This window comes from Homo sapiens, chromosome 13 (genome assembly GCF_000001405.40).
Source record: "Homo sapiens chromosome 13, GRCh38.p14 Primary Assembly".
Lineage (NCBI taxonomy): Eukaryota > Metazoa > Chordata > Mammalia > Primates > Hominidae > Homo > Homo sapiens.
In genome coordinates this window covers 40865324-40879036 of record NC_000013.11, presented here as the reverse complement: position 1 = coordinate 40879036, position 13713 = coordinate 40865324, and the positions used below count along the sequence as shown (strand labels likewise).

General features: G+C 43.4%; 1 pseudogene across 2 annotated transcripts in view, besides 1 other annotated feature; it reads left to right on the top strand.

Moving 5' to 3' along the window:
* Window positions 1–13713, top strand: part of TPTE2P5 (TPTE2 pseudogene 5) — a 124766-nt pseudogene that overhangs the window by 42714 nt on the left and 68339 nt on the right. The gene's annotated exons all lie outside the window — the stretch shown is intronic.
* Window positions 8743–9243: an enhancer, noted in NCBI's record as "H3K4me1 hESC enhancer chr13:41443930-41444430 (GRCh37/hg19 assembly coordinates)". NCBI's record gives its function as "activates a minimal SCP1, AML or CMV promoter by ChIP-STARR-seq in primed H9 embryonic stem cells {active_cell/tissue: H9 hESC(primed)}" and the evidence as "EXISTENCE:reporter gene assay evidence [ECO:0000049][PMID:30033119]".

Genomic DNA, 13713 nt, shown 5'->3' with positions numbered 1-13713 from the left:
GAAAGCAAGTGCCAAGCCCGGCAAAACACCTATCTGCTAGCTGCAGCTATTAGAGGAGTTCCCCCGAAGGGCCGAGGAAGGGGGGACCCTGGGAAAAACACTCAGTCTGACCAACCATGCCTGCAGCATAACCAGTGTGCATACTGTAAAGAAACAGCGCATTGGAAAGACAAGTGCCCCTAGTTAAAAGAGAAACAAAATGGCTCTGAGCCAGAGGTTTCAGGCAAGGATGAAGGGGCCTTGTTTAATCTAGCAGAAGGGTTACTGGACTGAGGGGGACCGGGCTCAGGTGCCCCCAATGAGCCCATGGTCAAGATGACAGTCAGGAGCAAGGACATTGAGTTTCCTGTCAATACTTATCCTGAACATTCAGTAGTAACCACCCCAGTCACCCCCTTATCCAAAAAGACTATTGATATAATCAAAGCCACAGGAGTCTTGAAAAAACAAGCTTTCTACTTGCCCCGGACTTGTACTGTAGGGAGACATGAAGTGATTCACCAGTTCTTGTACATGCCTGACTGCCCCTTGCCCTTGCTGGGAAGGGACTTGCTTAGCAAGCTGAGGGCCACCATCTCTTTTACAAAGCACAGCTCTTTACCGCTAAAGTTACCTGGAATGGGAGTCATTATGGCCCTTACAGTCCCCTGGGAGGAAGAATGGACTTTTCTTAACTGAGCCAGGCCAAGAGATAGGACCAGCTTTGGCTAAACAGTGGCTAAGGGTGTGGGCAGAAGATAATCCTCTGGGGCTAGCAGTAAACGAAGCCCCCGTAACCAGAGAAGCTCTTGAAGGTATCCAGATCCATCTCCAGTGCCTGAAGGCCTTTGGAATTATAGCCCCCTGTCAGTCTGCCTGGAACACAGCCCTGCTGCCTGTTCCCAATCCAGGAACCAAGGTTTACAGACCAGTATAGGACTTGCGCTTGGTTAACCAAGCTACAGTGACTTTGCACCCAATGGTACCTAACCCGTACATGTTCTTAGGGTTACTGCCAGCTGAGGACAGCTGCTTCACCTCCTGGACTTGAAGGACACTTTCTTTAGCACCAGACTAGCTCCTGAGAGCCAGAAACTGTTTGCTTTCCAGTGGGAAGATCCAGGCTTAGGTGTCACCACTCAGTACACTTGGACCCGGCGTCCCCAAGGGTTCAGAAACTCCCTCACTATCTTCAGGGAGGCCCTGGCTCAAGACCTGCGAAAGTTTCCCGCCAGAGACCTAGGCTGTGTGTTGCTCCAGTATGTCAACGACCTCCTGCTGGGACACCCCACAGCAATTGGGTGCGCCAAAGGAACAGACGCCCTGCTCTGACACCTGGAGGACTGTGAGTATAAGGTGTCCAAGAAGAAAGCTCAGATCTGCAGACAGCAGGTACGCTACCTAGGATTTACAATCCGACAGGGGGAACGCAGCCTAGGATCAGAAAGAAAGCAGGTCATTTGCAACCTACCAGAGCCTAAGACCAGAAGGCAGGTGAGAGAATTCTTAGGAGCTGTTCTTAGGGTTCTGCAGGTTATGGATCCCAAATTTTGCAGTACTGGCCAAACCTCTGTACCAAGTTACAAAGAGGGGTGACATGGAACCTTTCGAATGGGGGTCCCAACAGCAACAGGATTTTCATGAGTTAAAAGAAAACTTCATGTCAGCCCCAGCCCTGGGTCTGCCTGACCTGACAAAGCCATTTACACTATATGTGTCAGAGAGAGAAAAAATGGCAGTTAGGGTTTTGACCAAGACTGTGGGGCCCTGGTTGAGGCCGGTGGCTACCTCTCTAAACAACTAGACAGGGTTTCCAAAGGTTGGCCCCCGGGTTTGAGGGCCTTAGCAGCAACTGCCCTGCTAGCACAAGAAGCAGATAAACTAACCCTTGGGCAAAACCTGAACATAAAGGGGCCCCCCATGCTATGGTGACTTTAATGAATACCAAAGGACATCATTGGCTAACGAATGCTAGACTAACCAAGTACCAAAGCTTGCTCTGTGAAAATCCCCGCATAACCATTGAAATTTGTAAAACCCTGAACCCCGCCACCTTGCTCCCGGTATCAGAGAGCCCTGTCGAGCCTAACTGTGTAGAGGTGTTAGACCCAGTTTACTCTAGCAGACTTGACCTCCGGGACCAACCTTGGGCATCAGTGGACTGGGAGCTGTGCATGGACAGGAGCAGCTTTGTCAACCCACAAGGAGAGAGGTGTGCGGGATATGCAGTGGTAACCGTGGACACTGTAATTGAGGCCAAATCATTGCACCAAGGTACCTCAGCCCAGAAAGCTGAGCTCATTGCTTTAATTTGGGCCTTAGAACTCAGTGAAGGTAAGGCTGTAAACATTTACACTGACTCCAGGTATGCCTTTTTAACCCTCCAAGTGCATGGAGCATTATATAAAGAAAAGGGCCTGTTGAACTCTGGGGTAAAGGACTAAAATATCAGCAAGAAATCTTGCAATTATTAGAAAAAGTATGGAAACCCCAAAAGGTGGCAGTCATGCACTGCGGAGTCCACCAGCGAGCTTCCACCTCAGTTGCCTTGGACAACTCCCAAGCTGACTCAGAGGCTCGAAAAGCAGCATCTGCCCCCTACCAGGCATCAGTCACAGCCCCCCTGCTCCCTCAAGCACCTGACCTTGTACCTACTTATTTTAAAGAAGAAAAAAGGACTTTCTACAGGCAGAGGGAGGACAGGTGATGGAAGAAGGATGGATCCAGTTACCAGATAGGAAAGTAGCTTTGCCACAGCTGCTGGGAGCCGCAGTCGTACTGACTGTGCATGAAACCACCCATCTAGGTCAGGGGTCACTTGAAAAGTTGTTAGGCCAGTATTTCTACATCTCGCATTTGTCAGCCCTTGCCAAAATACTGGTGCAGTGGTGTGTAACCTGCCGACAGCACAATGCGAGGCAGGGTCCAGCTGTTCTGCTCAGCATACAAGTTTATGGAGCAGCTCCCTTTGAAGATCTCCAGGTGGACTTAACATAAATGCCCAAGTGTGGAGATAACAAGTATTTACTAGTTCTCATGTATACCTACTCTGGGTGAGTGGAGGCTTATCAAACACGAACTGAGAAAGCTCGTGAAGTAACCCGTGCACTTCTTCGAGATCGTATTCCTAGATTTGGACTGCTCTTACGAATTGGCTCAGATAATGGGTTGGCATTTGTGGCTGACTTGGTACAGAAGACAGCAAAGGTATTAGGGATCACATGGAAACTGCATGCTGCCTCCTGACCTCAAAGTTCAGGAAAGGTGGAGCAAATGAATCAGACTATCAAGAATAGCTTAGGGAAAGTGTGTCAGGAAACAAGATTAAAATAGATACAGGCTCTCCTGATGGTATTGTTTAAAATAAGATGTACCCCTTCTAAAAGAACAGGATATTCCCCTTATAAAATATTGTACCATAGACCCCCTCCCATACTATGGGGACTCCCAGGCACTCCACAAGAGCTAGGTGAAATTGAGTTAAAATGACAGCTATAGGCCATAGGAAAAATTGCTCAAACAATTTCAGCCTGGGTAAATGAGAGGTGCCCCATTAGCTTATTCTACCCAGTTCACCCTTTCTCTCCAGGTGATCAAGTGTGGATCAAGGATTGGAATGTAGTCCCCTTGTGACCACGGTGGAAAGACCCCAGACCGTCATCTTGACCACCCCCACAGCTGTAAAGGTTGAAGGAATCCAAGCCTGGATCCACCACAGCCATGTGAAACCTGCAGCCTCTGAGACCTGGAAGGTGAGACCAAGCCCAGACAACCCCTGCAAAGTGACTCTGAGAAGGACGACAAGCCCTGCTGCAGTCACACCCAGAAGCTGACTCATCTATGCACAGCCAAAGCATGAGGAAACTCATCGTGGGACTTATTCTCCTTAAAATTTGGACTTATGTAATAAGGACTTCCACTGATTTTCCCCACATGGAGGACTGTTCCCAATGTATTCATCAGGTCACTGAGTAGGGCAACAAGTTAAAACAGTTTCTGTTTTATAGTTATTATTGTTGCGGGACAATCAAAGATGGGAGAGACCAAACAAAGTGAGTTCAGGAAAGGTCTTTATTAAAAGATGATCACTTGGCTCAGTAGGATTAGTGTACAGGAAAGTCTGAGCCCTGGACAAAGAAAGCAGCCACCTTTTAAGCAGTCAGTGGCTGGGAGCTACGTGATGCAGGAAGCACACTTAGAGAAGCAAGAACAAAGGCAGTTGATCAGTCTTTTACATTTATCTATATTACATGTTCCAAATCCTTGGGAAACCATGTTTCTGTATAAACCTTGTAACTTTGCAGCTGCACGGGGGAGGTGAAGCAGAAACTCGCTGAGCCTCAAGGAATGTGAAACTAGCAAGTACAGATAAGGCTCAAATGTATTACATGAATCATTATCAATCTGTCTTGCAGGAAGACCTAGGTAGTGAAGATGAAAGTGAGAACTCCCACTAATAAGTGAGATTCTCAAAGGGGGGGAATGAGGAAGGAGACCACCTCTCTTATTGTTTCATACCTCAGAAAAAGAAGGAAGAAATAAGTTAAAGAAGGCAAAAATGAGATAAATAGTCAGGCAGCCTGGCCCCGCACCCCAGGCCTGGTCTGCTAATTAAATATCAACCCCTGACTAACTGCTTGTACTATCTATAGATTCCAGACATTGTATGAGGAAGCATTGTGAAACTTTCTGTTCTGTTCTGTCTTAACTACCAATGCATGGGGCCCCAGCCATGTACCCCATGCTTGCTCAATTGATCACAACCCTTTCACGTGGACCCCCTTAGAACTGTAAGCCCTTAAAAGGGGCAGGAATTTCCCTCTTGGGGAGCTCAGTTTTTGAGATGCAGGTCTGCTGACGTTCCTGGCCAAATAAAGCTACCTCTTCCCTCAACCCAGTGTCTGAGGGGTTTTGGCCATGGCTTATCCTGCTACAGATCCAACTCTGTGTTCCTTCCACCATTATCCCATAACCTTAATATCCATTCCCATGCCTGTTCTCCAGATTGCTGTTTATATAAATCAGAGAACTCCAACAGTTCAAGTATAGTGCACTTCCTCATGGGTCACACTCTCAACCTCATCCTTAGGGGGCCACCAGGACTTTAGTTATAGGTTTAGAAGCAAACAGGTGTTGGGGGTGGCCTCTGAGGAGACTCAACATTATCTTGCCTGGCAACTGGCTCAGGGGAGGACATCACTGTTGCTGCAGGCAGCATAGGGTTTTTCTCCTTGGACAAAGGTGGAAAGACTGATAACAGCATAGGTCAGGGAGGGGATGTTGCCACTACTGGGGATGGGGAAGCTGTTTCTTCTGGCAAAAAAGGTTCACCGGAGTTTACAAACTCAGTGTCCTCAGCTTCATCAGGGTCCTCCCACATGTCCCCATTCCAAGTTGCCAGGTCGCATGCTTTTCCAACAAATGCCCTCACTTTAACAGTAGACACCTGGTGAGGCTGTGCATGCATCTTTCATTGCTGGTCAGCCACTCGTGTAAGAGCTTGGGTCTGTTTTTCCACAGTTTCAGCTCGTTTTCTACAGGAGATAAGACTCTCATTCAGGGCAGTCTTAGCAGATTTGAGGCTCCATATCTGCTTCTGAACCTGGGAGACAGAATACTTGAGTTCATCATTTTCTTTCATCACTTTGTCCACTGAACTTAGGAGCAACCAACCAGCTTCATTATGTTCCTTGATTCTCCACATATGGTCAAAGGTATTATGTATAGAGTCACTAAACTCCTTGCCTCTCAAGAGTGGTGAATCAGGAGTCTCAATTGCATTTACTTTGTATAACTCTCTACACAGTTTCCACCAAAAACTATCAGTGTTCTCCATACTATTAGAAGTAGAGACCTTAGCATTTTTGGGTCTAATCATATTAATCAGCCAACTCCAGAGACTCCCAAACCAATGAAAGAACTCCATCCTTTATATTCTATTCCTCTAGAACCACACTCCCAGTACCAAAATCTAATCTGTATTAGGGTTCTCTTAGAGGGACAGAACTAATAGGAGAATATATATATATATATATATATATATATATATATATATATATAAAGGGGAGTTTATTAAGTATTAACTTACACAATCACAAGGTCCCATAATAGGCTGTCTGCAAGCTGAGGAGCAAGGAGAACCAGTCCAAGTCCCAAAACTGAAGAACTTGGAGTCTAATGTTCGAGGGGAGGAAGCATCCAGCATGGGAGAAAGATGTAGGCTGGGATGCTAGGCTAATCTCCTCTTTTTCATGTTTTTCTGCCTTCTTTCTATTCACTGGAAGCTGATTAGATTGTGCCCACAAGATTAAGGGTGGATCTGACTTTGCCAGCCCACTGACTCAAATGTTAATCTCTTTTGGCAACACTCACACAAACACACCCAGGATTAATACTTTGTATCCCTCAACCCAATCAAGTTGACAGTCAGTATTAACCATGACAGGATTCCTTTGACTCCATGCCCCTTCCAGATGGGCCATTGCCCTACCCTGCTTTTCTTCATTTTATGTGGGTCAAGCCATCCCCCTAGTCACTCCCAATGTAAGAACCCAGATATTTCGGTTGAAGATGCTGAATTCACTCACCATTTTCATTCTTTTCCATGAGAGCCATTGACGGCAGCGGCTCTGAATCAGCCATCTTTGCCTCTCTCCCTTCTTCTGTTTTTTAAGATAGGGTCTTGTTCTGTCACTTAGGCTGGAGTGCAGTAGTCTGATCACAACTTACTGCAGCCTTGAATTCCTGTACTCACACAATTATCCTGCCCTAGCTTCCTGAGTAGCTGGGACTACAGGAACATGCTACCATGCCTGGCTAATTTTTAAATTTTTTTGTAGGGTCTGGGTCTCATTTTTTGTAGAGCTGGTCTTGAACTCCTGGTCCCTTTTTTTTTAGAGCTGGTCTTGAACTCCTCCTGCCTCAGCCTCCCAAAATGCCAGGATTAGCTGTGTGAGCCATGCTTATACCACTGGGCGTGATGGTGTTGTTTTTATTGATCACAATGTGCTTCAAGGTAAATACTACTTCAGCATGATACCCATTTTTTAAAGCTTAAAAATAAATATGGCAAAATAATATATTTTTAGATATATCTATATTTATACCTACACCTGCCCTCTCTATACATAGATATATATGTAGACTATAAAGAAAAGCACAGGGATTATGGACATAACCTTCAGAAGAGTGGTCATCTCTGTGATGAAGCAAGGGGACTGGATCAGAGAAGAAATTCCAGCAGTCCTGTAGCTTCCACAGGACTAGAAATATTTCATTCTGCATGAAGTGATGGGTGTATGGATGTTATTTAATTGTTATGCTTCATAACTTAGATTCACATCCCACTTTGAGAATATCTCCTATAGAAACAAAGGACTTGTATTTAAGAATGTGTAAGAAGAGTCACCACGGAGCTGACATGGAGGCTGGTGGCACCTGGGCGCAACGCCGTATGCCAACTAGCCTACCGCGTGGATCACGGAGCTCACTGACGAGAATGTCAAGTTCATCATATATATATATGTAGATGTGACTTAATATTTCAATGAGAAACACTGAAATAAAAAAAAACCAAAAAGCATTTCCACCATCCATCAGTTGCTAAGTAGCCATGTGCCCCACCTAATGTAATCTAATTTATCATGTAATTTTGGTTTAAGCTGGACATTAAGACTTGCAAAGAAATGGCTTTTGCCTAAGATTAATAGTAACTACTAATATTCTTTTTCTTCAATCTGCAAAGGTAATGTTAATGAAACTTGCATGTTAAAATTCTGTAATTATAAGTAAAGTGTTTTACTAAGTACCTTAACATCTAGAATTACTCTTTAATTCTGGAAACAATTTACTTAGACTCTCCTCTAAATAAGAGTAAGATTTCATACTATGATATAGATTTATGCAATATAATTGTTTCATTTTGAATTAATCATATTTTAATTTGAGCTGCAAGTTTTTAAAAAAGTACTTTGAAGACTAATTCATCTTTATAGATTAGGCAAATAGTATAATCAACTTATGGGGAATGTATTTAGAATATGTAACAGCAAGAGTCAGGAGCTAATTTAGAGTTCAATACTATAAATATTTATGGAATTGAATTCTTTCTCATGTGCCCATCACTGTGCTAGAAGCACCCACAAATATGTAATCATGTACTTGTTGAAAATGTCACTGACGAAAAGCCTTGGTCTTTTAAGAGCTTATGTCACTCATGCTTTCATTTGGTTTCTATTAATGAATTCTTTAGGATTATACAAATTAATGAGGTTTTATTTTTTATGAGAAATTGATATAAACTTCTCAAATTTTAAGAAGAGTTTACAGACACAGGTAATTTTAATTCAGTTTTACTTTTCTCTCTTGAAGTGTTGGTCTGATGTGTCTTCTATAAAAGGGCATGATGACATCTTGTGAAGTGGTTTGGTGGGAACTGTATTTATTAAGAACTGCTTCTAGGAGGAGGAGCCAAGATGGCCGAATAGGAACAGCTCTGGTCTACAGCTCCCAGCCTGAGCGACGCAGAAGACGAGTGATTTCTGCATTTCCATCTGAGGTACCGGGTTCATCTCACTAGGGAGTGCCAGACAGTGGGCGCAGGTCAGTGGGTGCGCGCACCATGCATGAGCCAAAGCAGAGCGAGGCATTGCCTCACTCGGGAAGCACAAGGGGTCAGGGAGTTCCCTTTCCTAGTCAAAGAAAGGGGTGACAGACGGCACCTGGAAAATCGGGTCACTCCCACCCGAATACTGTGCTTTTCCGACGGGCTTAAAAAACGGCGCACCAGGAGATTATATCCTGCACCTGGCTCAGAGGGTCCTACGCCCACGGAGTCTCGCTGATTGCTAGCCCAGCGGTCTGAGATCAGACTGCAAGGTGGCAGCGACGCTGGGGGAGGGGCGCCCGCCATTGCCCAGGCTTGCTTAGGTAAACAAAGCAGCCGGGAAGCTCGAACTGGGTGGAGCCCACCACAGCTCAAGGAGGCCTGCCTGCCTCTGTAGGCTCCACCTCTGGGGGCAGGGCACAGACAAAAAGACAGCAGTAACCTCTGCAGACTTAAATGTCCCTGTCTGACAGCTTTGAAGAGAGCAGTGGTTCTCCTAGCACACAGCTGGAGATCTGAGAATGGGCAGACTGCCTCCTCAAGTGGGTCCCTGACCCCTGACCCCCAAGCAGCCTAACTGGGAGGCACCCCCCAGCAGGGGCAGACTGACATCTCACACGGCTGGGTACTCCAACAGACCTGCAGCTGAGGGTCCTGTCTGTTAGAAGGAAAACTAACAAACAGAAAGGACATCCACACCAAAAACCCATCTGTACATCACCATCATCAAAGACCAAAAGGAGATAAAACCACAAAGATGGGGAAAAAACAGAACAGAAAAACTGGAAACTCTAAAAAGCAGAGCACCTCTCCTCCTCCAAAGGAACGCAGTTCCTCACCAGCAACGGAACAAAGCTGGATGGAGAATGACTTTGACGAGCTGAGAGAAGAAGGCTTCTGACGATCAAATTACTCTGAGCTATGGGAGAACATTCAAACCAAAGGCAAAGAAGTTGAAAACTTTGAAAAAAATTTAGAAGAATGTATAACTAGAATAACCAATACAGAGAAGTGCTTAAAGTAGCTGATGGAGCTGAAAAACAAGGCTCGAGAACTACGTGAAGAATGCAGAAGCCTCAGGAGCCGATGCGATCAACTGGAAGAAAGGGTATCAGCAATGGAAGATAAAATGAATGAAATGAAGCGAGAAGGGAAGTTTAGAGAAAAAGGAATAAAAAGAAATGAGCAAAGCCTCCAAGAAATATGGGACTATGTGAAAAGACCAAATCTACGTCTGATTGGTGTACCTGAAAGTGACGGGGAGAATGGAACCAAGTTGGAAAACACTCTGTAGGATATTATCCAGGAGAACTTCCCCAATCTAGCAAGGCAGGCCAACATTCAGATTCAGGAAATACAGAGAATGCCACAAAGATACTCCTCAAGAAGAGCAACTCCAAGACACATAATTGTCAGATTCACCAAAGTTGAAATAAAGGAAAAAATGTTAAGGGCAGCCAGAGAGAAAGGTCAGGTTGCCCTCAAAGGGAAGCCCATCAGACTAACAGTGGATCTCTCGGCAGAAACTCTACAGGCCAGAAGAGAGTGGGGGCCAATATTGAACATTCTTAAAGAAAAGAATTTTCAACCCAGAATTTCATATCCAGTCAAACTAAGCTTCATAAGTGAAGGAGAAATAAAATACTTTACAGACAAGCAAATGCTGAGAGATTTTGTCACCACCAGGCCTGCCCTAAAAGAGCTCCTGAAGGAAGCGCTAAACATGGAAAGGAACAACTGGTACCAGCCGCTGCAAAATCATGTCAAAATGTAAAGACCATCAAGACTAGGAAGAAACTGCATCAACTAACGAACAAAATAACCAGCTAACATCATAATGACAGGATCAAATTCACACATAACACGATTAACTTTCAATGTAAATGGACTAAATGCTCCAATTAAAAGACACAGACTGGCAAATTGGATAAAGAGTCAAGACCCATCAGTGTGCTGTATTCAGGAAACCCATCTCATGTGCAGACACACACATAGGCTCAAAATAAATGGATGGAGGAAGGTCTACCAAGCAAATGGAAAACAAAAAAAGCAGGGGTTGCAATCCTAGTCTCTGATAAAACAGACTTTAAACCAACAAAGATCAGAAGAGACAAAGAAGGCCATTACATAATGGTAAAGGGATCAATTCAACAAGAAGAGCTAACTATCCTAAATGTATATGCACCCAATACAGGAGCACCCAGATTCATAAGCAAGTCCTGAGTGACCTACAAAGAGACTTAGACTCCCACACATTAATAATGGGAGACTTTAACACCCCACTGTCAACATTAGACAGATCAATGAGACAGAAAGTCAACAAGGATACCCAGGAATTGAACTCAGCTCTGCACCAAGCAGACCTAATAGACATCTACAGAACTCTCCACCCCAAATCAACAGAATATACATTTTTTCAGCACCACACCACACCTATTACAAAATTGACCACATACTTGGAAGTAAAGCTCTCCTCAGCAAATGTAAAAGAACAGAAATTATAAAAAACTATCTCTCAGACCACAGTGCAATCAAACTAGAACTCAGCATTAAGAATCTAACTCAAAACTGCTCAACTACATGGAAACTGAACAACCTGCTCCTGGATGACTACTGGGTACATAACGAAATGAAGGCAGAAATAAAGAGGTTCTTTGATACCAACGAGAACAAAGACACAACATACCAGAATCTCTGGGACACATTCAAAGCAGTGTGTAGAGGGAAATTTATAGCGCTAAATGCCCACAAGAGAAAGCAGGAAAGATCCAAAATTGACACCCTAACATCACAATTAAAAGAACTAGAAAAGCAAGAGCAAGCACATTCAAAAGCTAGCAGGAGGCAAGAAATAACTAAAATCAGAGCAGAACTGAAGGAAATAGAGACACAAAAAACCCTTCAAAAAAATTAATGAATCCAGGAGCTAGTTTTTTGAAAGGATCAACAAAATTGATAAACCGCTAGCAAGACTAAATAAAGAAAAAAAGAGAGAAGAATCAAATAGACGCAATAAAAAATGATAAAGGGGATATCACCACTGATCCCACAGAAATACAAACTACCATCAGAGAATACTAAAAACACCTCTACGCAAATAAACTAGAAAATCTAGAAGAAATGGATAAATTCCTCGACACATACACTCTCCCAAGACTAAACCAGGAAGAAGTTGAATCTCTGAATAGACCAATAACGGATCTGAAATTGTGGCAATAATCAATAGCTTACCAACCAAAAAGAGTCCAGGACCAGATGGATTCACAGCCGAATTCTACCAGAGGTACAAGGAGGAACTGGTACCATTCCTTCTGAAACTATTCCAATCAATAGAAAAAGAGGGAATCCTCCCTAACTCATTTTATGAGGCCAGCATCATCCTGATACCAAAGCCAGGCAGAGACACAACCAAAAAAGAGAATTTTAGACCAATATCCTTGATAAACATTGATGCAAAAATCCTCAATAAAATGCTGGCAAACCGAATCCAGCAGCACGTCAAAAAGCTTATCCACCATAATCAAGTGGGCTTCATCTCTGGGATGCAAGGCTGGTTCAATATACACAAATCAATAAATGTAAACCAGCATATAAACAGAACCAAAGACAAAAACCACATGATTATCTCAATAGATGCAGAAAAGGCCTTTGACAAAATTCAACAACCCTTCATGCTAAAAACTCTCAATAAATTAGGTATTGATGGGACATATTTCAAAATAGTAAGAGCTATCTATGACAAACCCACAGCCAATATCATACTGAATGGGCAAAAACTGGAAGCATTCCCTTTGAAAACTGGCACAAGACAGGGATGCCCTCTCTCACCACTCCTATTCAACATAGTGTTGGAAGTTCTGGCCAGGGCAGTCAGGCAGGAGAAGGAAATAAAGGGTATTCAATTAGGAAAAGAGGAAGTCAAATTGTCCCTGTTTGCAGATGACATGATTGTATATCTAGAAAACCCCATTGTCTCAGCCCAAAATCTCCTTAAGCTGATAAGCAACTTCAGCAAACTCTCAGGATACAAAATCAATGTACAAAAATCACAAGCATTCTTAAACACCAACAACAGACAAACAGAGAGCCAAATCATGAGTGAACTCCCATTCACAATTGCTTCAAAGAGAATAAAATACCTAGGAATCCAACTTACAAGGGATGTGAAGGACCTCTTCAAGGAGAACTACAAACCACTGCTCAAGGAAATGAAAGAGGATACAAACAAATGGAAGACCATTCCATGCTCATGGGTAGGAAGAATCAATATCGTGAAAATGGTCATACTGCCCAAGGTAATTTACAGATTCAATGCCATCCCCATCAAGCTACCAATGACTTTCTTCACAGAATTGGAAAAAACGACTTTAAAGTTCATATGGAACCAAAAAAGAGCCCACATCGCCAAGTCAATCCTAAGCCAAAAGAACAAAGCTGGAGGCATCACACTACCTGACTTCAAACTATACTACAAGGCTACAGTAACCAAAACAGCATGGTACTGGTACCAAAACAGAGATATAGATCAATGGAACAGAACAGAGCCCTCAGAAATAATGCCGCATATCTACAACTATCTGATCTTTGACAAACCTGAGAAAAACAAGCAATGGGGAAAGGATTCCCTATTTAATAAATGGTGCTGGGAAAACTGGCTAGCCATATGTAGAAAGCTGAAACTGGATCCCTTCCTTACACCTTATACAAAAATCAATTCAAGATGGATTAAAGACTTAAACATTAGACCTAAAACCATAAACACCCTAGAAGAAAACCTAGGCTTTACCATTCAGGACATAGGCATGGGCAAGGACTTCATGTCTAAAACACCAAAAGCAATGGCAACAAAAGCCAAAATTGACAAATGGGATCTAATTAAACTAAAGAGCTTCTGCACAGCAAAAGAAACTACCATCAGAGTGAACAGGCAACCTACAAAATGGGAGAAAATTTTCGCAACCTACTCATCTGACAAAGGGCTAATATCCAGAATCTACAATGAATTCAAACAAATTTACAAGAAAGAAACAAACAACCCCATCAAAAAGTGGGTGAAGGACATGAACAGACACTTCTCAAAAGAAGACATTTATGCAGCCAAAAAACACATGAAAAAATGCTCACCATCA